The sequence below is a fragment of the Homo sapiens genome, chromosome 22, assembly GCF_000001405.40.
Source record: "Homo sapiens chromosome 22, GRCh38.p14 Primary Assembly".
NCBI classification, from domain to species: domain Eukaryota; kingdom Metazoa; phylum Chordata; class Mammalia; order Primates; family Hominidae; genus Homo; species Homo sapiens.
Genome location: NC_000022.11, coordinates 23,087,559 through 23,114,754, shown reverse-complemented (window position 1 = coordinate 23,114,754; position 27,196 = coordinate 23,087,559). Strand labels below are relative to the sequence as shown.

Sequence of the window (27,196 nt, the reverse complement as noted above, 5' to 3'; positions counted from 1 at the left end):
CCTGCTCTGCCAGCTGTTCTGAACCTGTCCCCCCTCCAAAAAAATAACCACACACACACAGAATATGTAAGCATACTTCCCTCGTGAGGGGGCTGAGGGCTGATGTGGGATACACATGGACAGCTTAGTCCCCACACCCAGGCACAAGTGACTGTGAGCAGCTGGCACTGCTGCAGATAGTGCTGGCCAGCTACAACTCTGACAGGTGACACACCACAGGAATGCAGGGGGCGAGGGGTAATACAAGAGCAGGACGTTTTGACTGGACCTCTGGGGGCTGAGGGGAAGGGAAGGCATTGCAGGAGGGGCTGGCAGAGGCACAGAGGCATGGGGATGCAGCCGCATTGCTGGGAAGGGTGGGGCCGGGGCCGGTCTGTCCCACCCTGGGCCTCAGTTTCCTCATCTGTAGAGCAAGTCCTCAGTTCTGTTACAGACTGAGAAGCTCAAGTCAGCCCACTGTAGAAAAGCTGGGAGTGTTCATCCGAACCGTGAATTCAGCTTTTTCACGCCGAGAGCAGAGCTGTGGGGCGGGGTTGTAGACATGAATGCGCTCCATTCACCATGGACAGGCCAGCCCTGCGGCCACCCAGCCTGCAGCTGAGCCACCAGGCCTGACCAGGGCCACCGAGTACCAGGCTCTGAGGGCAGCACCCTGACTGAGGGGCCGAGGCAGAGGTTTCATACAGAGATGAGCTTCATGCTGTCACCTTTCACAAAGTACCGGCCAAGCCTCTCACCCCTCTGGGCCTCCCTTTGTGGTGGAAGCTTGGGGACACCTTGGTGGGGCTGCCTGTCTGCTGGGCAGGGTGTGGCTGGAGGGACATGGGGCACTGCTGACACAGTGACCAACATGCCTCCATCGGTAGCGGGTGCCTGCCCTTGGCTGGCACTGACTGCCCATCTCCATTTCCCAGAGCTCTGTGTGACAGGCCTGGTGGGCAGGAGCCTCTGCAACCTGCCTGGGCCATCCTGAGTGCTGCCGAGGGGGTCTGGGACACAGGCATTCCCAGACTTCTCTAGTGGGGAGAGGGCGAGTGGGCCCCACCATCTGATGATGCGCCGAGGTCCTGGCAGGTGTACCGAGTGGAGGGGCCTGTGGTGTTGGCCCCCTGTGCTAGATGCCTCTGCAGCTGTGGAACAGGGAAGGCACCAGAGGAAATCCACTCCAAGGATGGTATCAGTCGCAAAGGAAATAGCTTATTCGCTTGCAACCCCGTGCTTCCCCAGCCAGTCCTGGAATCCTCATCAGGAATTCCTGAGTTCACTTCCCTTTTGGGGAAGCTTGTAGGTGCAAGCTCTTGGCCTACATCTACCCTCAGGCCAAAGGGGTATGGGCAGGAGGCTATCCGAGACAGCTCAAGGTGGTGGCAGCAGCTGGGAGCCAGTGTGTGAGGGGTTGATGGGACTATGAAACAGGGAGGCGGTGCTGGCCAGAGTGCTGGGGTGGGAGCCGGGGTAAGATCTGTGGGAGAGAAGGATGCTGGGACCAGCAGGGCCTTGCCTGGGCACAGGGCCAGGTGGCGCTGGGGCCCCAGCTGTTGTAAAGATGCAGTTTAGCCAACGTCAGAACACTCAGCTGTCTTCCCAGGGGAGTTGCAGCCACAGCAGGCACCAAGTCCAGCCAGCTGTCTAACATGTGTCTTCCTGGCCAGGGTCAGCCGCAGGGGCAGGGTGCTAGCCTGGAGGTGAGCCCTGTGAGGTTCCAGGCAGAGGGGGCTGCTATGCTCAGAGCAGGTCCCCTTCTTCTGGTAAAATGGGCCACGTCAGACCTGAAAGCTGGATGTTCCTATCAGAACGCTCCCTGCTCCTGGTCTCTTGGCTGGTATTCCATGGCACAGCACAGCATGGGGTAGCTCTGCCCAGCTGGAGCTGTGGGGTCCCCAGACCAGGCCCCTGCCTTCCTGATGGGTCCACACTGGCCACCTTGCTCCCTGCAGCCAGGTCCCTATCCCCACTGAGGGTCTTCTGTGCTTCAGGATCTGACCTTGGTGTCCGTCTCTGGCTTCTCCTGGCCAGGCTCCCCATTGCAGCCAGTCTACAGGTCGCAGCTGCATCGTGCTTACCTTGAGCACTTGCCATTCCCACCCCGCTGGTGTTTGTCCGATGCTCCATTTCTCAGGAAGTGGCCCTGTCCTTGCTGGAGAAGGGGGTCTCCCTGCCACAGTCCCACCCTGACTCCACCAGGAGCTCAGCCCAGCCTCCTGCTAAGTGTCCATCTCGCCCTCCTGCCGTGGCCACAGACCTGCTGTGTCCAGGGCTGTCATACCCCTGGTTGTGGTCATCTGGCCTCCTGGCTGCACCCTGGCATGCTCCCCGCACCTCTTCAACCATGTACCTGGTGGAAGGCATTGCCACTGACCAGGTCCCTGGACCTCCCACGGTCTTGGGAGGCAAAGAGCAAACGGCCTGGTGAGCACTGGGCCCTAGAGCCTGGTGTGCTTGGGGCGGGGCCGAAGGATGCCTCTTCTGCTTCCTCCAGAGACCCCCAGGCAGGGCCTGGGGCTGTGGCAGCTGGGGAAGCAGAAGGGCCCCTCAGAAACCAGAAATGCAGCTGGGAACCTCTTTCTTGGTGCTGGGAGAGAAGTGAGGCCCGGAGGTCAGGCAGCCCTCCTTTGGGCTGCGGGGTGAAGACAGGAGGCTGAGGGTGCCTGTGTTCTGGCCCTCCTGGTCCCTGCATGAATGCCAGGGGCAGTGCCTGTCCTTTCCTGGTTACCCCCAAGGCTCCAGTCTTGCTGTGGATGAGACTAAGGCTGCAAGGGACAGAGGACTGGTCTAAGGATGGGAACCTGGGCACCAGGCTCCCTGGCTTCTCAGAACATGCTCCTAGTGACACACTCTGTGATCAGACACCTCTGGTTTGGAAATAAGGAGCACCTTGGTTTCAGACAGCCCACTGCCCACTGCCACCGGGATCTGAGGACTGTCAGGGACCAGGGCTGTCACAAACAGGGTTAAGTCCAAAGGGGCTTGCCCTGTGGAGCCTGGCCGCTTGCCCACGACCCTGCTGGCTCCCTGAGGAAGGGGCCTGGGAGGTACTGGCTGTCTTGTGTTCTGAAACCTAATTCTCCCACCAAACTGCAGTGAGACCCTGGGCATGTCACTTCTGCTCTGGGCCGCAGCTCCTGCCTCAGTAAAATAAGCTGTTTGTCCAAGATGGTCACTGGGTTCTACTAAAGTGACCTTGGGGGACCCTGGAGTGCTTTGGTGTCTCTGGTGCAGCTGGCAATGGCCTGAGCCTCACCTCTCTGGCATCACCACTGACCTCAGAGAAGACTGCCTTGGCATCTCCGTTTCCAGAGGCCCCAACACATCACATGCAGATGGGGCCCTGTCCCAAGCACTTGAGACTTTTCTGGGCCTCTTTGCCACTAGGCGGAACCGAGTCCAGTGCGCTTGCCTCTCTCCCCTGGCCTGGGCTTGGAGATTTGTGGCCGCACCCCCTGCTCGGTACAGAGCCAGCCACGTCACAGGAGAGCCTCTCTGGCTCTGCTACTCTCCACCTTCTCTGTCCTCAGGAGCTTAGGATGCATGACAGGTAATGGGACTGGGAGACAAAGGGGCAGACAGACAAAAACCAGGCAGACAGTGAGGCCACTCCCCGGCAGAGGCTCAGTGTGAGAGCAGGTGGAGGAGGCATGAGTCATTCCTGCTCACGCTCACAGGGAAGGCGCGCAGGCCCCCCAGCAAATGATGATCGCCTGCTGGAATCCCAGTGCTATCCTACCCCCTCATTCGAAGTGGCTCTGAGGCAGCACCCCTGTGCTTGGTTCACCCAGCACCTAGATGGAATCGTCGCTGACCCCAAGTGGACAAGAGGACAGACAACATGGTGCAGCTGCCCAAAGAAAGATGGTGGGCAGGGAGGCCTGAGTTGCCCCGTGTGCTCGCCAGCCTCAGAGTGTGGTGGGCCCTTGGGTCCTTCCCAACACTGAGCTCTCAGGAGTCAATGACAACAGCTGCCTCCCAGGCCAGCTGCTTCCTCCCTCTGCTGAGCTTGGCATGAACTCTCTGCAGACGCACTGCTGTTTCTATGACAACCAGGGTGGACACCCTCACCCTCAGAGTCTCACACCACAGCAGACCAGTGGCAGGTGAAGCTGCTGACCCTTGAGCTGGGGCAGGTGCCCACAGGGGCACACAGCCTGGTTGGCCAAACACTGTCTACTGCCCATCTGCTCAGGTGGTGGGAGAGGGTCTCTGGTAGCGAGGGTACCCTGCTCTCCCTCTGTCTCTTTAAGGACCTGCCTTGCTGTGCCCTGAGAGACAGGGCAGTGGGCAGGGGAGAGGGGAGGACCTCTGGTGACCTGTTCCTGGCTGGAGCACCATGGGTGGGGTGGGCCTCCTGGTGGGAGGGCCCCAGAACGTGGCTCGCTCTTGTCACCCTGTGGCCTCGTCAGTCTGGACTTCCTCTTGTGTGGGGGCTGCCGTGATGCCCTCCAGTTCTGTTCACCTCCGAGAAGTGACTGTGAGAGGCTCCTGGGCTCACGAGGCTCAAAACATTTCCATTCTAGATGTGGAAAGTGGTGCTCAGAGGGGTTACCTGGCTTGCCTAGGCCCCTTTGCCTGGCCCACTACCCTTGCCCCAAGGAAAGCACCAGACAGCCCGAACCACCCCTCAGGCCTGGTCATCCTCCCACTGCTACTAGCCTCAGGAAATGGGGAGGTGTCTGGGGACAGAGCTGGATGACCAGGGTCACTTACAGTCCAATCTGGTTAGTGCTTCCCTCTTCCTCCCGCAAACCTCAATGCTACCTTGACAGATTGGAGAATTGGATTGAGGGTTAATGACTCAGTGAGCTCCTGTCTGTCCCTGGAGCCAGTCTGCGGGGACAGCACAGGGCACATGGTGCTGACGGCCAGCCTCAGGAACTGAGAGGTGGGGGGCTGGTACCTGCTCAACTGCTGGGTCCTGCCTCCCAGCAGAAGGCCTGCCTATGCTCTGAGCCTTCTCTTGCAGGGCAACCACCACTCCCACAGCTTCCAGGGCTGGGGCAGCTGTTTCCATTCCTCTAGCCTGGCCTTTAACACTGAACCCTGCTGCCCCCGTGGTTCTGTGAGCATCTGAGATGCTGAGGGAGACAGGCTCGGCCCTGCCTGCACGGAGGGCTCTGTTCCAGCTTGAACACCTCAGCTCCTGGCACCCATTCTCTGCCACTCCATGGCTCTCAACTCCACACTGGTTCATCCTCCTGGCCCAGCCACAGGCCTCCCAAGTGTAGGCCCTGGGTACCCATGCTCTGGGGTCCCCTTGGTCTTGAGACCCTCACTTGGCTCAGCACCCACCCCTCTCCTGTCTGACTCCCTTTCTCCCAGGCTCACTTCAGATTCAGGACTCCCAAAAAGACCTGAGAGGAGCAGCAGCTGATCCCTTAACAAGGCAGGGTGCAATCCTAAAGGGTGGGGGCAGAGCTCGGGGCCATGGGAGGGCAGGCCCACCCTGGCCTCTGGATGCCAGCAGGGCTGGCTCCGTGGCTTTGGTGGGGCTGCCCTCGGCTCTGCTGCCAGGCTCACTTGGGCTGCCTTGGTTCTCCTTGAACTCTACCTTACCCCAGAGGCTCGGGTCCTGGTAGCTGTGAGACAGCAGTTATTCTGGGTGACAGTGAAGTGCGTCACAAGAGAAACGTGGTCAATAGGTCTTCCAAGGAGGCTGGAGCTATCTCCCACCCAGGCACTGTCCAGGCCTCATGAAGACACTGCTCTTCCCACGATGACACATCGGATATGGAGCTGAGCTTCAGGCCCAGCCTCCCCTGGAAGCCTCCATGTCTTCCTAGCACCTTTCCTCTGGACCCCCACTGGTCACCCTCAGACAATTCCTAAGCTCCTGTAGCATGCACAGCATGTCTCCTGCCTCGAAGGACAGAGAAGAGCATGGCAAAACCCTGACTTCAGAGTACTGAGTCCCCAAATAGGGACACCACCTCTCCAGCAGGCAGAGGATGCTAACACTTGGGGTGGCCAGCACCAGGCTGTGCCAGCCAGAGAGCAGGTGGAGCTGACTCCTGCCTGGGAAGAAAGGTCCTAGGCCATGACACAGCTTATGAGGCAGGAAGCTGGGGCCCTGGGACATTGCATGCAGGGTCCAGTTTTGGGCTATGGCTCTGAGTTCTGCCCCATGAGGGCACCTCCTGGACAATCTCCTTCCCATTCTACCATGGTCATGTCTCCTCAGGATCCATCTACCTGCTTCTGCTCTGGGGTTGCCCCCTGTGCAAACCCTCCAGTGCCTTCCATGGCAGGCTGTGTAATCCAGGCCTCTCCCGGCTGTCTCCTGACTCCTGCTTCCGTCTCTGTCACCTCGAGGCCTTTGCTGTGCTACCCTGCATGGGCTGCTCTTTTGGGTTTGTGTAGCTGGTCAGCTATCAGACTCCTTCACTTGAAGTAAGCCCTAGTCACAACCCCAACCCTTTTAATTTGCTGCACAGCTTTTAGCACCATTGGCCCCTGTTCTCATTGCCCATGGCCTGCCTATGAGCAGTGCTGTCTGCTTGGGGACCGCTCTCCCCTGCTCTGCCCAGCACGGGGTGGATGGCAGGCAAGGCCAGATGGCACATGCTGCAGGCGTTTGGTGTGGCAGCTGTGTACAGGGGCAGGGGTTGGGATTGCCTGGCTGCTCCCCACCTGTGTGCCCCTGGCCCCACCCTTCTGCACAGATGCACCTGCTCCTGGCCCACAGATGGGCTGGATCAGGGCGGGGGGCACAGGCCTCACACCCAGACCCGCCACTTCTGTGGATGCCTAGGGTGTGGCTGGGGTGGGTGATGGGCACCTATAGGAGGCTTTGAAGGGACTCGGGCTGGGCCTTCCTCCCCCGCAGCAGGCCTTGCCCTGGGCTGGCCCTCCAGTGACAGCTGGTCTGTGTCCTTCCTCACTGTGGCTTCGTCGGTCAATGGGTCAATCTGGCAGAACAGACTGAAGAGGCATTTGATAAGCAGGTGCTCTTCCGGCTTTAAAACGATCAGGAACTATCTGATCCCGTATTCTGGTGAATGAAAATGTGGGTTTGATTTTCACACCCTGCGGCCAACCCCCTGGGGTTCTGTGTGCAGAGGCCCAGGACCCGACTCCACTGCTGCGCTCCCTTGGTGGGTTCCGGTGCTTCTTGCTGGAACACTGTGCTTGGGACCCCTGCTCCCGCCCCAGCTTCTGCTCCCTACACCCCAGCTGCTGCCACCTGCAGACAGAGGCCCCCAGTTCACAGGACTTGCCTGGCTGAAGTGGAGACTCTCGAGTGGCACAGGAGGATTGACAACCTGGGGTGGCCACAACTCCTGTCCTCAGACACTCTCAGGCCCTGGGTTTTCATGAGGCCCTCGACTTTTCCCTGGGGATAAGAAAGGCCACCGCTCCTGCCCACCCGCACAGGGCTGCTCAGCTGCCCATGTAGGCAGCTCAGGAGGGCACAGGCAGCTTGGGAGGGGCCCATTTTACAGAGTACTCAGGCCTGTAGGTCCCAGGCCAGCGACAGATGGGGCTCCTCTGGGATGGGGGCCAGGGCAGGGGTGTGTTCCAGCCGAGTCCAGAAGTCAGAGCCTCTGCTTGCCGGTGGCCCCCTCCCCCCTGCAACTATGCCTGGTGACAACTGTAGTGCTCATAGTAACAGCACCAGCTAAGCCTGGCACCTCAAACAGCAAGGGCTGTTTAAACAAGATAACAGGCTGCCGCTAAAGCCCTAGCTCAGGCCCTAATGGCCTGAAAAGCCCTTGCTCTGAACCTGCCAGAAACAGCTGAGCGTGCTGCTCCCTGCCTTCCGCAGCAGTTCGGCTTTGCCACCTTGCCTGGGCAGTCCTGTCTGCCCTCCCTGGTTTCCCTGTGTGTGCAGTGTGGAGGGGGTGGGGTGACCCGTAGTAATGGCAAGGGTGGCTGCTTCCCAGCCCTGCCCATTCCCCTGGGCAGCAGCGGGATGTCCAGGTCAGAAGGCCCCCACTTTGCCACAGGGACAACTTTTCCTGAAACCCGAGTTTCCTCATCTGTGTGGTGGGGAGCCCCTTCGGGCTGGGAGGCTTAGAGGTTGTGCATGCAGTGCACCAGCATGCCCTGCGCCAGGCTCTGCCAACCGCTCACGTCTCTGGGCCTTCCATTTCCACTATTCTGTTGTCAGCCAGCACACACATGTTATCCTACAGCCTGAGCCTTCAGAGTACTTCCAGAACTGCCCTACCTCCTCACTAGCCAGGGGAGGGGCAGGAGCTCAGGAACTGTGCTGCTGGGCCAGTCTTCACCTGGGCAGTCCAGATGGACACAAGTCCACATGACTACCCTGGGCCACAGCCAGGCCAGGGCCCCACCCACAGTGCCAGGGCCCAGTGTGAGATGGAGACGGTGCTGTACACAGAGCACTTTCTCATGCCTCAGCTGGGCTTCACCCACTGGGCAGAGCTCTCCCAGAAGTCTGTGTGCAGCCTCCAGGATGTTGGCACCCCTGTCCAGCCCTGCAGGTGGGTGGCTGCTGTTCTCCAGCACAGGCCCAAGGCGCCACCCCCCTTACCCTCATGTCACTCTGTTTTGCTTTTTTGCTCTCACCAGATCTCAACCATCACTGACTTGCAGGGTCTTAGGTCCAAATGGGAGCCTCTGTATTCCCAAGGGTGTTGGTCAAAGTTGCTGAGGAGGCAGAGCCCCAGGGTAAGTGTGATATGTGGCGGGAGTCACGTGACTGGAGGTGGTGCCTTAACAATGCTCAAAGACTCCCAGTCCTGGGACAGAAAATTCCAAGATGGTGGGAGCATTTGCTCCGAAAGGGCCTGGAGCTCCTGTGTCCTGCTCCCTGGCTTCACACCCAGACCCAGAAAGGGAGGCCGTGGGCACCCTCAGCACCTGGGTCCCACCTGCTCTCACCTTGACCCCATAAGCTCTCCTGCCCAACTGGGAGGACTGGCCTCTTCCAAAGCCCCAGTCCACTTCTGTTTCAGCTGAGAACTGTCTCCTATTTGTTTTTGTGTTAAATCTTGCTGCTTTTAAGTAACCTGCACCCCTGCTCCCCACCAGCCAGTGTCAGTCGCTGAAGGGAAATTAACAAACAGCATGATACAGGTGTGTTGTAGATTGGAAGCTGTCAACACAGACACAGGCCTGGCCAGGAGCTTGCACGCCATCACCATGCGAAGAAAGCACAGTGTGAGAAACCCCTCCTAGTTTCAGCTCCAGAGGATCCCCAGGAACCCAAGGCCGACACCCTTGCCTGGTTTGCCTTTGCTTTGTTCAGCAAGGTGGGTGCACTCTGCACTCCTAGCCGCTGGCACTGCAGCCTCGGACCCACACCTGTAGGCTCAAGGGCTTGTGAACCCCTCTGCAGCAGGCTCAGGCTCTTTCCTGGGAGGGACATGAGAAACTGGGGGTAGTGGGGAGAGATCCCAGTGGGGAACCTCTGCCTATGGCCAAAAAGATGGTTTTCAAAAATATTCATCCTTTAAAAAAACATATTTGGGTTGTTACTGCTTGAGCTGGGTGGCCCTGTGGGGCAGGACCTTGCCCATAGTCACTCCTCCAGCTGAGCCAAGTTGCCTTCGAGGCTCTGGGCCCCCTTGGTCAGGATGCTGCTGTGCTTCTCCCCTGGTCACCACAGGCCAGGAAAAGGTGTGTGGGGCTGTGGCCGTGGCCGGCCTGGGCTGGGAACCTTAGGATACAAGGCCCAGGGCCCCCAGTCGACTCTGGTTTCATTATTAATGAAATTAGAGAAAGTACCTGAGCTGAGGACATGTCCACCACGAGGTGTGATGAAGCAGGGATTAGGGTGAGCTGCAGCCAGGCTCCTGGGCTGGCCTAAGCTTGTCCACTATCCAGACGGGAGCCACATGCAGAGAGAAGAAACACCTTTCACTCTGCCCTGGCCAACACTGGGTGTCCCCCCTGAGATGCCCAGGGCCATGCACCCTAGCTGACTGTCATTCCAATCCCTCCAGAAACTAGACTGAGCCAGTGGGGCCTCAGGTGAAGAGGGCTATGCATCCGGTCAGCACAGAGCCTTGCTGCTGCATCCTGTCCTCACTGCTTGTCTTGTTCATGGCCAGTCACAGGACTCCCCTGAGTGGCAGATCCCCCCATCTACACTGGTTACTAGGGATCCCCAAGTCAGCAAGGCCCCCAGCACTCTTAGCCTCCACCTTGGAGTCTGTTCTAGATAGTGGAAAATTGTTTTTCAGTTACTGGATTATACAAATCCCTTAAAACAATAGTAATCTGTGTCTTAAAACCCAGAGCTGTTCTCATGTGTGTGTACTGAGCAGAGCTAATGCGCTCAGGAAATTAATTACCCACTGGCCTGGGCAAGCCTAGCCGATGCAGGTTGAGGGGATGTGGGGTGGGAAGCAGCTCTGCCCTGAAGCTCTTGGAACAGTTCAGACAGGGTATCATTGTGAGCATCCAGCCTGATCACGAGGCAGAGCAGGAGGTGTATAAACTGGGAGGGACACAGTCCTGGGGCTGAACCCTGGCTCCGTCATCACAGGGCGCTCAGGCAGCGACACCCACCCTGGGCCACACTGGGGACTGGACACTGTGCCTGCGACCTTGCCCTGCCTGCTTAGACCTTACACCGCCTGGTCCTCCGTCATCCCGCTGCAGGGCACTGTGCATAGCTCTGTGCTCTCCATGGCCCCCGACAGCCCCCTCAGTCCTGCCTTTGTTGACTGTCCCCACTGCTCCCCCACAGCCTTGACTGGATTCTGCAAGGTCCAGATCAGATCACCACCCCCACGTTCATCCCAATCTGTGCAGGCCTGCTCCCAACGTCTAGGCCCCCGTCTCTCCTGCAAATGTTGGTCTTTGGGACAGAGGAGGCACCTGTTCCTGGCTTCTCTGCACCTAGAAAACTGTTTCCTAGGGCAGGCTCAGGGCCAGTCACAGAGAGCATGCGGCCAGCATTTGTAGGCACTGGGGAAGCCAGCCTGAGGCCAGCCCTGGCTACACAGGTCCTCCAGGGCCTGCTTGATGCCATCCCCAGCTGACCTGAGGGAGGAAGGGATAGGACTGCCTCTGTCCCTAGACTGAGTTTGTCAGGCCCAGGGCCCACACATACTGGGTGAACAAGGACTGCTTCCTGCAAGGATGCCACAGGGCTTGTTCTCAGATGGAGAACATCAGATGGCCCCCAGCTTGTGGTCTCGTGTTAGCCAATGCAAGGTTGCTCTCTGTGGAGTAGGATTCTCTTAAATCTGCCGAGGAAGAGCGGGAGGGAGGCAGGCAAGTGAAGAGCCGCTCTGGCAAATTCCCTTTCTCCAGCGGGGTAAACACGAACAGATGCAACCCACGCGGCCACAGGGTCAGAGCTGGGAGTCACTGGGGAAGCACAGTGGGAGACTGACAGGCAAGGACACTGTCGGGTTCTTCAGTAAGATGGCAGTAGCGGATCAATCCTGCCATACACCAGTGACTGAGCCTGGCTGGCAGACTCTCCCCGCCATGCTTGGGAGTCACTGGCTGTGGTGCACTGGTAAAGGTCTAACAACTGGCATGGAGGCGGGGGCTGGGGAGGAGTAGAACTGTTTTGTAGTATTTGCCAGTTCCTGGGGTGTGATTACTCCTACCTGGCTGCTTTGAAGCCACAAATATAATGTCAAACAGCTCACAAACATCCTGAAAATTGAAAAATTAGCTCTTGTGAGCCAGTATGAGCCAGCTCTAGCCCCTCACTGCCCTGGCATGCAGAGAGGGAGGCTCTGCCACCACTAGCCCTGGGTCTCAGCACTCTCCTCTGCAGGAAGCAGCCCTGCCTGGCATGGTGCCGAAGAGAACTCTCTTGTTCTCTCCTCCCTCCTCCCTCAAGGCTTACCAGCACTAGGGCAAGAGACTGACTCCTGCCTTCCCATAAAGGAGGCCCCAGCAGAGCCCACGCTGGCTGACCTCCTGTTGTGGCAGGAACACTTGTCTGAGAGATCTGAGGAACACCATGGGCATCCCCATGGAGGTTCTGCCAAGGCACCTGACAACGTCATCATGGTGGAAGAGACAGAGTGATGGGGTTGGCCTCCTGGCTGCTGCACTGCTGTGTTCAGTGACAGCTTGTGCCCTGGGAATGGCCTCTAGTGACACAGCAGGAGGTGACCATCATGGAGGGGTGGCTGATGCACTGAACGACAGAGCCACCAGGTTCATGATGATGAGGAGTTGGGGGCCAAAGGAAAAGGCCCTGCAGGCAGAGCAGGTGTGGGGGCAGCCCAAGCAGCAGGGCTTGAGCCCAGGGCCCTGCCGCCTCTTGCCTTGTGGCTGACCTCTGACCAAGGACCTACCCAGGGCAAGGAGCCACTGCACAAGGCGGGCTAAGAAATGGCCCCACCCTTGGAAGCTCCCAGTGTGACAGGAAAGGAGCAGCTGCTTTTGACAGGGGCCTTGTGGCTGCATCCTCCCTGGGAGCAGAGGAAGGAAGGAGCTAACCCAAGGACTGAAGTGCTAGCAAGGGCCTCAAATAGGTGCCAGGACATGCTGCCTTCTCCACCCCTCCCTGCTCATCCCCCTCCCATCTTGGGCTTGAGCCAGCATCCCATGGGGTCACGCATAAAGCCTGGGACCCTAGGCGAGCAGATACCCATCATTCACTGAGCACTGGCCACAGGCTCAGAGCGGCTGAAGGCCCACTGAGGTGGCCGCAGCCCCAGTTAAGGCTGAGTCCTGGGCAATGAGGCAAGGGAACTTGGATGCGGGGAGCCGGTGCTGAAGGGATGGCAGGGGCTGTTCACAAGTGTTGGTGGGGCCTCTAGGCCACGGGTGGCCCAGCTATAGGTGTGTGCCCAGCCCTCTTGAGGCTGGCCCCATCGCTCCAGTGCTCGGGTAGGATAACAGGCCATAGAGAGGAAGCCAGGCCAAGCTTAGAGAGGGATGCGGGCTGGGGATATCATGTGGCCAGCTGAGCCCTGCTCCCAATTCCATGCCTGCCATGCGAGGTGCCATCAGGGTGCTGCTGTGGGCTTGGTCCTCTGTGTCTCCCACCCCTGTGGAGCCTCTCAAGCTGCACTGCCATGGGGGCTGTCCAGTCCTTGGGAGCCCAGTGTGCCAGCCTGGCCCTGCCTCTGGATCTGGTCAGGAGGCTCTGCTGTTCCAGGGTCATGATAACTTGAGGATGCTGCAGACAAACTGCATGTGGCCCTGGCACATTGCAAGATCAGAAGGAACTGCTTGGGAGACCTGTGTGTGTCGGGAAAAGGGCGGCAGGCCTTCTGGCTTGGAGCTATGCCCTTGACCAGGTCAGGAACAGGAGGCAGAGTGAGGCCATGTTCTGCTAGGGCTCCCTGTGGTCCTGCCACTGACTAGGCCAGGAGACAAGGGGACGAGGGGAGTGTCAACCTTCACAGCCACTCACCTCTCCCAAGCCCAGGTGTCACTGTCCTCCACTCTCCTGAGGGAAGGCTGGCTACACAGCAGCTCCAAGGGTGGAACCCAGTCTATACCCCCAAGGCCCTTGCTGGAGAACCCCAGCACCCACAGGATGTGGGACCAGTATGGTGAAGAGGGGGGCCACTGGAATTCCCAGGGGCCAGTGCCAGGACCCTCCCTGAGAGCCAGAGTCTCAGCCCTGCGGTATGTGAAGGAACCTCTCTGAGGCTCAGTTTCCTCATCTGCAAAGCCGGCTGGTTAGGAACACTAAAGGATATATAAGGTCCCTTCTCAATCTAAGCCCTGGTATGCTGGGGAGAGGGTATCATCTGTGTCTGGCTATTGCCCATTTGTAATTCCCTCCTTGGGCAAATATAACCAGCTCTGTCATCAATAGGTATAAGCCTGTCTTACTGGAAACACCTTGTTTCACCCACAACACGCCATTTTATGGCACAAATGTTTAAACTCCATTTTAAAAGCACTAAAACAAGCACCCTTTTTGGGCTAAATGATAAACCACAGCGCTAGGGTGGCAGGAACACGCTGTGTTCACAGGACGGCCTTGGGCAGCCCCTCCTCAGGGTACTGCATACACTCCTGTTATGGACGAGCACCCATAGGGTCTCCTTGGGAAGGGCTGAGTGTCCCAGCTGCTCTGCACCCAGAAGCCAGGGCTCTGGAGCTCCAGCTCTTCCCAAGCCTACCGCCTCCCGCCCGCTCCACAAAGTCTGCAGAGCACCCACTGTGTGCCAGGCCCTCTGCTCAGAGCACAGGCTGTGCCGGGTGGGTGTGGACCTGCCCTCGTGGTGTGCTGAGGCTGCTGACCTGCCCTGGAGTGGGGAGGGGTTCCTCAGGAAGCCAATGGCCCCAGGACAAGGGACCACTATCCAGGGCCAGGCATAGACCACCTGCCTGGAGGCTGGCTGCTCAAGCACTTGCCACCTGCAGAACTTGCCCCACAAAAGGCATGTTCTTATGTCCCCCGTCCCCTGGATACCCTCACTGATAACATGTTGACCAGCTGTCTCTCAGATAAGTGGCAGAGACACCAGGCCTCCCACGGTGAACCCTGCTGTGACCCAGCCTGCCTGTGGGGCCCAAGTGACTACTGTGGGTCCTAGATGAAAGCACAATGGGGACACTGCTGGGAACTGCTGCCTGCCAGCTCTAGAAAGACAGGGCAGGTATCCCTGGTAGCAGAGGCTTTGTGGAAATGAAGCTGTAGCTGGGCTGGTGTGACTGCCTCCTCCTTGTCCCCCAGTTCCCTGTGCTGCTGGGAGAGTTGTGCTCACCCTCATACTTGGCCCCAGCCTGAGCCTTGAGCCTGCACAGCAGGTCCATCACAGGTGCAAAACAGACCCGCCACAGGGCTGGGAATGCTGACAGCTCCGTCGGGAAATGGGCAGTGAGCTCCCTGTGGGTTTCCACATGAGAACATTTGATGCTTTACAACTAGACCTTTTAATCTTGCCTTCTGAAGGATCCCACACCATTTGGTGGCCAGCAGAGTCCATTAGCTGATCCGCAAGGGCAGAGGTTGGGCAACAAGTGCCCACCTACCCCCTCAGGTGCCTCCAGTGGGGCCGAGTGAAGACCCAGGCTCTGCTGGTCACAGCCACCTGTGTCTGTCCCTCAGTGTGGGCTGGTAGGTGCCAGCTTCTCCACTTTGCCTTTCCCTCCTAGGGCAGCAGAGTGACTGTCTTTGCTGACTGACCCTTGTGTGAATGTACTAAAGACGAGGGGCAGAGCCTCTGCCATGGCTCTGGCTAAGTGGGAGGCCCGTGGTGGGTCCTGTGACACATGGCCTCTCAGGAGCTGTCCTTGTGGACTTGAGGGCTGGGGGCCCGCCAGCGCCAGCTGTGTGCCTGAGCCTCAGTGCCTCGATCTGTGACAAAAATAACAGGCGCTGCTGCCCCACAGGATCATTCAGGGGACAGGTGCGCCAGAAAAACCCCCTTGTGTTGCTGGGCTGTGTTCAGGCCTCCTGTGCTGCCTGAGGAAGCCCCAGCTGGGTGTTGGGCTTGGGGGCACTGGGGTGCCTGACACACCTGCAGGACTTGGCCCTAGTCAGGGCAAGGGACTGCCAATTCCTTCGGACGAGGGTGGGAACCGTGGCCATGGAGGGGCGTGGCTCCCCATGTGGCTCGCTGCCATGCTCCACAGACACCCGGAAATCTGCCTTCCCTGCTCTGAGGTGCTGCCCTGCACTCACTGCAGCCCTCACACCCGGGAGCCCAGAGACACTGACGTTCTCCTTGGCAACGTGCTGACGCAGAAGCCAGCGGGTGGGCCGGGGGGCTGTGGCTCCTTCGCCAGGCGTGGGGGTGGGGAGGCACTGCCAGCATCAGGGAAGATGAGGCCTTGGAAGCTGAGCACGGAAGGAGGGCTATGGAGGAGCCGTGTCCAGAGCCCTGGCACTGGGCCCCAAGGTTCATTCGGCTTTTGTGAAAACGAGCATGGCCTGTTCTTGGCTGCCTTGCCTTTGACAGGGCCCAGGGAGGACAGTTCAGCACGTTCCAAAAGGAGAGAGCAGAGTGGCAGCCCTGTGCCAGCCCGTGCCAGCACTGGCTCTGGCCCTGGCCCGGCTGGAGACGGGCTGTCCTCACTGCCGGCACCACTCTGGGGGCCAGCTCACCTCCGGGGCCAGCCCAGCCTGCGGGAGGAATCGCGGGAGGGGATTGTCTTTCCTCTGCAGCCTGTTTGTTTTCCATCTCCAGATATTACTGGTAGAGCATGAAAGGTCAGAATCATTTGGAATCCAGTGAATTTCCAGCCTCGCTTGGGTTTCTCATCAAGAATTTCCTTTTCTGGTGAACAACCACTTCCCCAGGCCTGCAGAAACCAGGGTGATGGTGGTGGGTGTGCCAGCCTGGCTGCCAGCCCCTCCCTTTAGAAAGTGCCTTGAATGCCTGGAACCTCACAGGGATCCCTGAGACCAGGCCAGTGGCTGCTGTCCCTGCCCATGGCTGCCCACCATGGCTCTCCCCAGGGACAGGCCTGGGAGAGGGAAAGCTAGAGATGTGAGGCCCCACAGGGGCCACCCAGCCCATCTAGGGCCTGCCCCGAGGAGCTCACTCACACATCACTAGATGGAGGAGTAAGCAGGTGCCGGGCTAGGTCAGAAAAGGCCTCCCAGGAGGCGCCACTTGGGATGAGACCTGGAGGATAAGGGCAGGGGTACGAGAGGCAGGGATCAGGATCATTACAAGCTTAAGGCTGGACAGAGCAGTACTGCTGGAGCAAAACAAGCTGACCACGGCTAGAGCAGAAGGAGAGGAGAGAGAGGCAGCAAGGTGGCAGGCACAGGCCAGTAAGAGCCAAGAGGGCTGCAGGCAGGCAAAGGCCTAGCCTTGGGCCCATCTGTGAAGACACCTGGGTCATCTCCTCACTGACAAGTTCAGAAAGCAAACATGACAGCCAAAGCCCTCCATGAAAAACTGGACTGACTCAGGACCCAGGTATCCTGCCTCCTGTGTCCAGCACACCTGTGGGCACGGCCTGTCAAAGGATGCAACTGGGAGCCAGGCCTGGTGCCCGGGGAATTTGCCACGCCTGCCACTGTGGTGATGGGTGAGGCCAGTGGCGCAAGCCCGTGTGACTGGCAGACCCACCATGGCACTGTCCCAAGGGTCTGGCCTGAGCACCTCACTTTGCCTTGCAGCTTCTCAGCCCCAAGCGCTCTGCCCACGGCCATGCCTCATCAAGGGAGCCTGACCTCACTCATCTGCTGAGATGTCCCCTCTGCCCAGAACCACACATGGGGCTGAACTTGTGGCAACCACAGGGTAAGGGGCCAGAACCCTGGAGAGCACACAGATACACACTGGGAACAGGGTGGACGCAGCCGCCTGCGTACACACCTGCCTGCCCGTCCGTCATTCGTTTCCCCCAGGCACACCATCAACACCTAGGCACAGTTCCAGGGAGACCCCTGATGCGAGGAGGGGAGGGAGGCAAGCCCGCCTCCCCAGCTGCCTGAGGAAAGCCAAAGATCCTCTCTCTCAGAACACTCAGGCTCCTAGCACCATGGCCACTGCCTAGAGCTGTCCAGGTTCCCTGGCTGGGGCACAGGTCCAAAGCTAGAACCATTGTTGCTCTCCGCTGAACCTAAAGAATAAAGCTTGCCTTAGGACTGGGTGAAGCAAGGAGTGACCTCGGAGGCCAGTGCTCCCAAGTGGAGAGGCTGAGCCCTTGTCTCCCAGCATCACCCTCCCCTAGCCCCAGGGTACCCACAACTTCGTGACTCCTTGTTTGCCCCCACTCCCCCATCCCCAGGGTCAAAGGCCTCTCTCTTAAGGGCAGACTTGAAATCTGTGCTCAGGGAATCCTGCTGGGCAAGACAGCCCCTCCCTTGCCTGCCACGGCCTCCACCGCTGCCACTCCTGGCTGTGGCCCCCTTCGTGTGCTAGACCTTCTGTCCTGGCTGGGCCTCAGCACACTGCCCTGCTGCTTCACCCGGCTCCCCACCCTCTCCAGCAACTCCACTCTCAAGCCCCCACCGCTTCACACTGGGTCCAGGTCTCCCTCGGGCTGCGCCCATGCCACTGTGAAAGAATCCCAACACCTGCTTTTACGTCGTCCCCTTTCCACCAGGACCTGGGATTATCCCTTCTAAACAGCTCTTAACCCCATCTCTGCCAGATTTGCAGACTCAAGATGGGGTTGCAGGGGTGGCTGCTGTTCCTGGACCTATATGCTGGTAGGAGACTGGTGCTGGCAGGAGCTTCATGGATTTGCCAAACTATCACATGGATTGATCATGGATGCCCGGCGGAGCCTCACACTCTCTTGCCCTGTGGCCTCCACACCCTGAGTACTTCAGGCATGGGACATGACACCTGCACTCCACACCCTGTTCCCTCTGCCCCCACCTTGCTGGAGCTGCCTCAGTTATCGTGCAGCAGGGCCAGGCCTGCGCCTGGTTCCCTTTCTGGCTGCAGACTGTCCTGGACCTCACGAGTCCTCTTGCTTCCAGGAACCCACGACAGCAGGAACAAGCAGAGGAAAACCCCCGGCCCCACTTACTGTCTGGTTATCCTCGTAGAGTTTCAGGTCGTAGCCGCTGAGCTCCACACAGAAGATGATGGCTGTGACGCCCTCGAAGCAGTGGATCCACTTTTTGCGCTCTGACCTCTGCCCCCCCACGTCCACCATCTTGAAGGTGAGCTCCTTGAAGGTGAACTTGTTCTCCACAATGCCCGTGGTCATGTCCCGGGAGCGCAGGATGTCCTCGACAGTGGGGATATAGTCAGCTGCGGCGATGCGCTCCAGGTCGTTCAGGTAGTAGGCCGCGTTGTCCTCCAGGTGGTACTCGCTGGAGCGGCTGAAGCAGGCCTGTGCCCCTGGGTCGGCCCAGAGCCGTCGCATGACACCCAGCAGCTCGGGTGTGATCTCGCCCTTGCTCTCAGCGGGGCCCGTCAGCGCAAAGAGCTGCACAGCGTCGTAGGCGCGGTCGGGGTTGTGGAAGTCGATCCTGAGGGCGGCCAGGGCCCGGATGATGCGGGTCAGCGAGTCGATGGCATTGTAGATGATGAGGGGCTTGTACTCCTTGCAGGCCTCCAGGTTGAAGCCGCCGCTGTGGATGATCTTCATCTGTTTGACGATGGTGCTCTTGCCTGAGTTGCTGGTGCCCAGCAGGAGCAGCTTGATTTCGCGGCGTTGCCGCTGGCTCTCTGAGCGCAGGTGGCGGTCAATTCTCCGGGACCGCCGGGCTGCTTCTTTTTCCTCTGAGCTTTGCCGACATCCCATGGTCTGGCAGCAGCGGGCCCAGACAAGGAGCACGGGATGGGGCACCTCTCCCTCTTGCCACAGGGGACACTGAGACCAGGCAGACAAGAGCCCAGCTGCCCTGGAGGCACTCAGTGCCAGCAGGGGGGTGAGGCCGAGCCACACTGCAGCCCCTGCCCCAGCGCCTCTTCTCCAGCCGGCATGGCGCTCTGTGCAGCGGGCGGTGGCCGCCCCTCCCCACTAGTGACACTCCACCTCCCTAGTTGGCAAAGTGGCCTGATTTGCCGTAGTCATTCCCTGTCCTCGGCGACGGTGGGAAGCCGTCCGCTTGTGTTTGCCTCGGCTGCTGCCGTCTGGTTGCTGGTTGCTGTGGCGATGTTGCTGAGTGGCTGGAGGGTTGGAGGGCCGGTCGCTGGTGTGCTCCCTGCAGCCCCCCGCCTCCGGCTCCCACTGTGCATCCAGCCCTTCACCTGCCAAACACAGAGAAAAGCGTGAGCCTCCTCCCCGCAGCCCCACCTCAGGCTGGACAGTGAAAGGGAGCTCTTCTGAAAGCAAAGCAGCAGAGACTGGCCTTGGAAAATGAGCCGGCAACAATCCATCCAACCCCCTCTCCTCCATGGGGCGCTGTAGGGCCCACACCATGGTGTAACACATATGTCTGCTGTTGCCTGGACAGTCCACCTGAAGCCAGGTGCATGAGGGAGAGGAGGGTGTGTGCGAGGCCTCTGCCCACCCAGCCCCCATGCTGGACTCACTTCTACCGCATCCAGTTAGGATTCAATAAGGTCACCCTGTTGTGATGCCCCCTGGGGCCCTTCTCCCAGACAGCACTGATAGAGCTCAGCCTTGCCCTGTTTTACACGGGTGGCCAGGCCTCGGCCCAGCCCTGGGATAACTGAGCGCCTCCCTGACTCTCATTACCCCCGCAGGAGCTGGGTCACTTCTGATCACAGGGAGGAAAAGCACCAGGAGGGAGACCTGGCCCCTGCTTTCCCTTGAGGGCACTCTGATGGGCCAGCCCAGGAGCCAGCAGATAGGCAGGGACCAGAGCAAGGTGGAGGCTTCAGGCTGTGGGAGCACCGTGAGGTGCCTAAGCACAGTGGGCAGGGGCTGCCTCACTCCTGCAGAAGGAGGTAGAGGGGGGCTTGGGCTGAGACCAAGGAGCTGGGGGCTGCACGTGGTGCTGCGGGGAAATCCACCTGGGAGACCAGATGTCACAGTGGCTCCCAAGGGTAGTAGTAATCACCGAGGCCAGGGCAAGGCAGGGTGGCCTAGAGGCCTCAGGCAGAATCTTTCACCAACCCCGCGAGTCAGGGCCTCCCCATCCACCTTTCCTGCCAGCAGGGAGGGGCACACCCTAGGATGCCCCTGTGACTTTGCCGGGTGCTTAGGCCAGGCCTCCCCACACGAGGGGCAGCTCAAAGCTCAGGCTTCTTCCCCGGCTGTGAGCCCAGGGTGGCACCAGGCCCCACCCAACTCACACGCACCCCTCTTGCTCCTTCCCTGACCTATGTCCCTGTCCGGAGACCCACGCAGCCTCCCCATCCTGCCACAGGCAGCATTCGCCCCTTTAATACCACCCATCAACTCTGTGACAGGCCCTGGGGTGGGAAGGCCCGAGGCAGAGAGACCCCAACAGCCAAGGCCCCACCCTCAACTCCTGGGTGTGACCAGCATCTGAAACTCAACCTGCTAAACCCTCAGCAAATGGCACTTCATCCTCCCAGCAGCCATCCGTGCCCCTCACTGTCCCTTGCCCCTCACAGACCTTGACCACTAGTCCTGGCGATCCTGCTTTGAAGCAGGCCCCTGGTGGGCTGTCCTCTCCCTGGGCAGAGGTTCTGGTCTCTCCTGGCAGTGGTGGTGGCCTCTCACACCTGCTCCCTAGCCCTGCCAGCCTCTGACAGCCAGAGGCTCTAATGCCGCCTCTTTCCCTTGGTCAGACCCTGATATTACCCCCACCACTCTCAGGGTGGTCTCATCCTTCATGCCTTGCTTGCCTCTCCCAGGTTGTGTGGCCTCTGGCGACTTACTCCCATCTCAGAGCCTGTCCCTCACTGGCCACAGGTATCTGTGAAGAGTAAAGCGTCCAGCACAAGCCTGGTCCTCAGAGAGTGACAGCCAGTAGCAGTCACTGCCCTGCTGTGCTTGTCGCTGTGAGCGTCACCTTGCCCTCTGTCCTCCTCCTCCATAGCAGCCCTCAGCTAATGTGTGACCTACATGACCTTGTGTGCTGCCGTCGCCCCTACCCCCAGCCAGAGTGCGGGTGAGGAGGGCCCGTCCTGGCCTCGTTCCCCACTGGGAACAGAGCAGTGCCCAGTGCACAGTGGGTGTTCAGTAAGCACTGGTTGGTGGAAGGAGGGAGGGAGGGAAGGAATCAATGGAGAGGCTGAGGAACTTTCCCGCTTCACCAGGCAGCCACCGATGAGAAGTGCACCAGGGAACGCCCTAGAAACATCTCTGCCAAGAGGGCAGTGATTAAACAGTCACTCAGCCCAATCCCAGTGAGGCTGAAAATTACATCTGAGAATGGAAGCCTTGAGATGACCCTCCCACTCCAGCACACAGTGGGCAGAACATCTGCTTAAAGATGACATGTACATGATATGTGTAATATGCACACGAACCATGAGCGCATGGAGGATGGAGACCCTGTGGCTGCTCCCTTGTCCCTGCTGACGACCTGACAGCCCCTTAGGTGTGGAAAGGTGTCCAAAGCCCTCAGCCCACTGCCTGGGGACCCAGGGTTCTCCCTACCAGCACCATCATTCCAGCAGGAAGCCAACATGCTCCTTTCAGAAGGCAGTGTCCAACCCAGTGGGAGGTGTCCTCTGTTGTCATGACTGTTCTTCTCAATTCCACGTTTGAAAATCTGAGGTACAGCCAGGCGCCCCTTCTGTCCCCAGTGGTGGGCAGAGAAGCTGCTCTGTCCAAGGATGTGTGATTTGTGCTTTGGGATGTATGTGCTCCCTGGCTCCAAGGCTGGGGAATCAGGAGAGCAGGTTGGGGACACTGGGCTGGCAGCCTGGGCCCTGAACTGCTGTTGTCTGGAAGCCTGGAGCTAAGGGCTGCTCATGCAGTCTTCGATCAGTGTGCGCCGGCAACGACAGGGCAATGTGCAAGGAAAGGGGAAACTGAGGCCAGGTAGCAATCACATGCATCAGGGCCAAGTCTGTCACCTGCATGGGGCAGTGACGAACAGTCACAACCAAGGGGAGGTCCCCTGCTTGAGGACCCTCGTCTTTCAGATCACCTGAACCAAACAAGCAGAAGGCCCCACCCAGAATTCTCCCTGCGGCTCTGTGGGGCTGTGTTGTGTTTGGGGGTATGAGCGCCCTGTGCAGGGGCACCACGCATGGGACAGGGCTGTGCACGGATGTAAGGAAGCCTTGCGTTGGGAGCCTGGCTGTGGTTCAAATGGGACCTTATGACAGTCCCACCTATTCTGAGGCTTGACTTCTTGGCTCTTACACAAGGCTCTAGCCAGCCCTCTCTCTGAGTCTAACCCGGGCTTTACTGGACATGCTAGGACTCCCCAAGTCCCAGGATGGAACCTGATGATGGTTGGCCAAGAGACAAAGGCCAAGAGTTGATGACCACATTGTTCCCTGGCCCAGAAACCACTGATGGATCACTAGAGCTCAACACCCAGGACCCCCCACCACAGTGCCTCTGGGCATGGCTAGAAATACCAGAGGAATGGGCCAGGAAAAGAGTGTGCCAGGCAGAGGAGGAACATGCTGTAAGGCCCTGCGGTGTGTGGGGATGTGTGTTAGGGATGAAAGGGACAAACCATCCCTAACACAAAGGGGAACTGAAGGAAGGTCAGAGTGGCTGGACTGAGGGAGAGGAGGAGAGAGGTACCAGGCAAGAGGAAGGGGCAGGGCTCACCAGAAGTCCAACTGAGCCCTTGGTCTTCACTGAAGAGAAACAGGACGCCACTGAAAGGTTTTAAGCCATGTGTGTACCTGCATGTTTGTGGCAGTATGTGGTGCCTGTGTGCAGGTCCATTGCGGTGCGTGTGTGTGTATGCAGGTCCACTGTGGTGTGTGTGCATGTATGCATAGGTGCCAGTGTGTATGCAGGTCCATTGCGGTGCATATGCGTGTATGCATAGGTGCCTGTGTGTGTGCAAATCCACTGCGGTGCGTGTGCATGTATGCATAGCTCCCTGTGTGTGTGTAGGTCTATTGCGGTGTGTGTGCATGTATGCATAGGTCCCTGTGTGTGTGCAGGTCCATTGCGGTGTGTGTGTGTATGCATAGGACCCTGTGTGTGTGCAAATCCATTGTGGTGCGTGTGCATGTATGCATAGGTGCCTGTGTGTATGCAGGTCCATTGTGGTATGTGTGCGTGTATGCATAGGTGCCTATGTGTATGCAGGTCCATTGCGGTATGTGTGCGTGTATGCATAGGTCCCTGTTTGTGTCTGTGAGAGTGCAGGTGCATGGATGTGTCTGTGTCTGGTTGCTTGTATGCCAGTGTGTGCATGTGTCTGTTCATGTGCACGCGCAGATCCATGTACATGTCTGTGAGCAGGTCCATGTACACATCTTTGGGTGTGCATGCACAGGTCCATGCCTCTGTCTGCATGTGGTTGTGCGTGTGTGCAGCTGCATGTGTACTGGTGCATGTGGGCATCTGCATGTGGTTGCATGTGGCATCCTGGGAGCAGAGATGCCCTGGAGAGGAGGAACCAGCTGTGGTGTGGAGCTAGGCTGAGGCGACTGGGGCAGAAGGGAGATGGGTCAGGGGCTCTCCAGCATCCCACACTTACTTGCTAAACCATGGCTTTGATTCTGGCACTTGGGCTGGGGCTGCTGAATGAGGCAGATGAAGATCTATTCCCTATTTTTGCTCAGGTGGGAGGGCAGGAGTCAGACTACAGGCAGTAAATAAGCAGCAAGTGGCAGAAGGTGCCCAGTGCTACAGTGGAAATGGAGCTCCAGGTGGGCAGGGTTGGGGGTGGCACATGCGGGCTGCAAGTCAGCAAAGGTGGGTGGGGCTGGCCTCCTGGTAAGAGATGAGTATGAACAGGTGGTGAAGGAGGGAGGCAAGCAGGCATCAGGGATGAGGGAACCACCGGCACAAAGGCCCTGAAGTGGGAGCATGCCTGACCAGTCTGAGGGGCAGGAAGGAGGCCATGTGGCTGGTGCCAAGAGGGTAGGAGGTCACTTAAGGGCGAGTCAGGAGCCAGCCAGGGTTTGGGTGAGAAGTGCCATGACCTGCCCTGTGTGACCAGCATCCCTCTGGCTGCTGCGCTGAAGCCAGACCAGAGGAGGCTCCTGGATGCAAACATCCAGGTGATAAAAGGGGAGCAACACAGGTGAGGGCTGGGGGAAGTGGATGCAGTGAGGCTCTGCAAGATGTGTGAGCTGTACGGTGCACAGTGCCTGGTGATGGAGTGGCGGCTGGGTGGGAACAGGGAGACGATCAGGGAACTCCAGGGACCAGCCAGTAGGCTGAAGCAGGGGCTGCTCTTGGAGAGGGGACATATTAGGAGAAAGTGGCAGGTACTGGGAAAGGGGGACTGTCAGCTGTCCCTGTGGTACAGGACCCTGCTGTGCTTATGGCCAGGGCTCAGTACAGATGAGTGGACTGTATCAGTGAACACCAGCTAGTATCCAGTCCCTGGCCCCCGCCCCCAGCAGATGTGTAGTGTTTGCAGCGTGAAGGGTGTGGCAAATTCACCAGGAGGTCGCTTAGGACTTAGTGCGACATAGGGCCAGGCACCAGGTTCGACATGCTGGCAGCCAGAGGCCAAGAAGCCCTAGTGGGCTGTGCTCAGGCCAGAGTCTGCACCTGCCTGCCTCCTCCCCAGCAGCCTCAGGAAACTAGCATCTCTTGGCTGTAGGCTCTTAAGGAGCTCCATCCTGGTCCTTGACTCACCTACCCAAAGATTCCTAAGGCACGATCTCCAAGCCCTGAGCCCACTCAGGAACCCTCTGCTGAGGGCCGCTTGCTTCCTGTGGTTTCGGGACAGATCCTTCAGCCCACACATGGACATCCCCCTCAAGACCCTCCCTTCTCACCCACCGTCCAGCAGGCCCGGCCTGCCCTCATCACCCTCCTTCCAGACGTGGCCCTCTCAAGTCTGTTCCTGTAACAGATGTTGAGTGATAGCCCTGAGTCAGGATGGGTACATGGTCATGGAGGGAAAGTGCTGCCACCTCTCTTGGGACCTTTGCATCCTGGATGCCCTCCACTCTAGGAACCACTTCCCTCCCCAGGCACAATCCCTGGAGGCTCAGCCTGCTGCTAGGCATAGAGCTGGGGCAACATAATACCCATGGTCACACCCACCATAGCCTGAGCTCGCCAGGACCACACCAGGCCATGGGAGCCAGCCTGCCCTGCCCGTAACCTCCAGGCTGTCCCCAAAGCTTTGCTCAAGGCCTCCTCCACAACAGCCAGCACAGCACAGAGTCAGTGCCCCCGGCTGAGGCAGAAGAAGACAGCCCACAGCCAAGGTCACCGAAGGTCTCACTGCCCAAGCCGGCTAAGCCAGGGGCGGGAAGACTTATCAGCTTATAGACCAGCTCCCTCATCACTGTGCCTGACTTCCTCAGAGACGGCAGTCCAGCCCCTCACTCTCCAGGTCCCTAGCTACCTGCCTCCCTCCCTCCTCACCTCCCAGGAAAGCCTGCCCCATGCTGAGCTTGGGCGACGGAAAGAGTGAGCCAAGACGAAGTGATGGTTCAACACACAGACCCTGCCCCCAGGGAGATAGTTTAGGCTTGTTGAGGAGACGGAACTGTACCCAGACTGTGACTGGGGGAGAGGCACAGGCAGTCATGCCTGAGGCCCAATAGAAGCCACTCAGATGGCCACCTTTGCTGGTAACAGAAGCTAGGACCCCAAGAGGTGGCAGGCAGCCCAGGCCACAGGGCCAGCAAGGGAGAGCAAGGCCACACCCCTAATGCCCGATGGGCTCCCAGCCCTCCCCAGATACCTACCACACACCCTGAACCTGCAGGACTCTCTAGCCTCAATGTGGGGACCAGTGGTGTCCACTGTCCCAGGCTTGGGGTGGCAACAGGAGTCATGGAACCCATTTCAGACCAACAAGTCCTTTCCACCCTACCGGAGCTGACCCCAGGGCTGCCTGCGCCTACCTGCCACTCACCCTGTCCTGGAGTCCCCTGTGGAGGCTGAGCTGCCTGGCATGCCCCAAGCGGGGCTATGACTCAGCACTGCCCCACCCCCATCCTGACCCCAGTTTGCTGAGACGCCTTTTATCCAGGCAGCCGCGGCTCCTGTACCTGCCAGCTCCACCTTGGCACCCAGCAGCTGGTCTGGGGAGGGAGGAGGCCCGCGCAGTGACAGATCTCCAGGCTCACTGATGCCTGTGACCACAGGCCCTTCCTCACACAAGGATGTGGGGCAGAGTGGGTAAGGCTCCAACCCCAAGCCAGCCCACAGCTCAGAGCATGCAGGGACCAGCAGGAGGAAACGCACTGGGGTACCCTGAACCCACATTTTGGGCGTGTAGATGGTTCATATAACTCAGATCACTTGACTTGCTGCGTGAGTATGGGAACCTGCAGGCCAAGCTTGAAACCGCCTTTACAAAATTATGACTGAGACAGTGAAAGAGATTTAACTGACTCCATCTTGCTTCTAACTTCCAAGTTGTCCTTGTTCATTCCTGGGTGTAGGCTGAACTAACTTGGAGAGAAACTTAGTTTATAGTTTAAACAAAGACGGTAACAGCCCTCTCCCAAAGCAGACCTCCTTCTTGCCTGGGCACTAGACTGCCTTTGTAGGACTCACATTAGCCACAAGATTAGAAATTATGGTTTAGGAGTCATGCAGCTGAAGGCTAAAGATTCTGACCCTCCCTAAACTGCTCTTGAGATCAGTGCTTGAGAAATATTGCAGACCCTGCACTTGATGGATCAACTGGCCCCACCCAGATCAATAAACTGGCTCATCTGATCTTGTGGCCCCCACCCAGGAACTGACTGAGCAGGAACAGACTGAACAAGAAGACAGTTTCAATTCCCTATGATTTCATCTCTGACCAATCAGCACTCCTGGCTCACTGGCTACCCCCCATCCACCAAGTTATCCTTAAAAACTTTGCTTCCTGAATGCTCCAGGAGACTGATTTGAGTAATAATAACACTCCGGTCTCCTGCACAGCCAGCTCTTCATG

The 27,196-nt window shown here is 58.7% G+C and overlaps 2 protein-coding genes across 10 annotated transcripts in view, besides 4 other annotated features; one reads left to right on the top strand and one right to left on the bottom strand.

The window, feature by feature from the left end:
- The window catches only part of RSPH14 (radial spoke head 14 homolog), a 121,315-nt gene that overhangs the window by 65,975 nt on the left and 28,144 nt on the right, over positions 1 to 27,196 (top strand). The gene's annotated exons all lie outside the window — the stretch shown is intronic.
- Positions 1 to 27,196, bottom strand: part of GNAZ (G protein subunit alpha z) — a 54,514-nt gene that overhangs the window by 10,278 nt on the left and 17,040 nt on the right. For 2 of the 3 annotated variants that reach the window (NM_002073.4, XM_047441346.1), the window contains exon 2: positions 18,337 to 19,508. In NM_002073.4, coding sequence (NP_002064.1) covers positions 18,337 to 19,059 — 723 coding nt within the window. In that variant the 5' untranslated portion in view covers positions 19,060 to 19,508. Of the gene's footprint in view, positions 1 to 65; positions 16,144 to 18,336; positions 19,509 to 27,196 lie in introns of those variants that run through there. The other variant, XM_017028786.3, reaches the window with a different exon arrangement.
- Positions 1,068 to 1,971: an enhancer, noted in NCBI's record as "H3K4me1 hESC enhancer chr22:23454971-23455874 (GRCh37/hg19 assembly coordinates)". NCBI's record gives its function as "activates a minimal SCP1, AML or CMV promoter by ChIP-STARR-seq in naive H9 embryonic stem cells {active_cell/tissue: H9 hESC(naive)}" and the evidence as "EXISTENCE:reporter gene assay evidence [ECO:0000049][PMID:30033119]".
- Positions 6,891 to 7,755: an enhancer, noted in NCBI's record as "H3K4me1 hESC enhancer chr22:23449187-23450051 (GRCh37/hg19 assembly coordinates)". NCBI's record gives its function as "activates a minimal SCP1, AML or CMV promoter by ChIP-STARR-seq in naive H9 embryonic stem cells {active_cell/tissue: H9 hESC(naive)}" and the evidence as "EXISTENCE:reporter gene assay evidence [ECO:0000049][PMID:30033119]".
- Positions 11,562 to 12,460: an enhancer, noted in NCBI's record as "H3K4me1 hESC enhancer chr22:23444482-23445380 (GRCh37/hg19 assembly coordinates)". NCBI's record gives its function as "activates a minimal SCP1, AML or CMV promoter by ChIP-STARR-seq in naive H9 embryonic stem cells {active_cell/tissue: H9 hESC(naive)}" and the evidence as "EXISTENCE:reporter gene assay evidence [ECO:0000049][PMID:30033119]".
- Positions 12,461 to 13,360: an enhancer, noted in NCBI's record as "H3K4me1 hESC enhancer chr22:23443582-23444481 (GRCh37/hg19 assembly coordinates)". NCBI's record gives its function as "activates a minimal SCP1, AML or CMV promoter by ChIP-STARR-seq in naive H9 embryonic stem cells {active_cell/tissue: H9 hESC(naive)}" and the evidence as "EXISTENCE:reporter gene assay evidence [ECO:0000049][PMID:30033119]".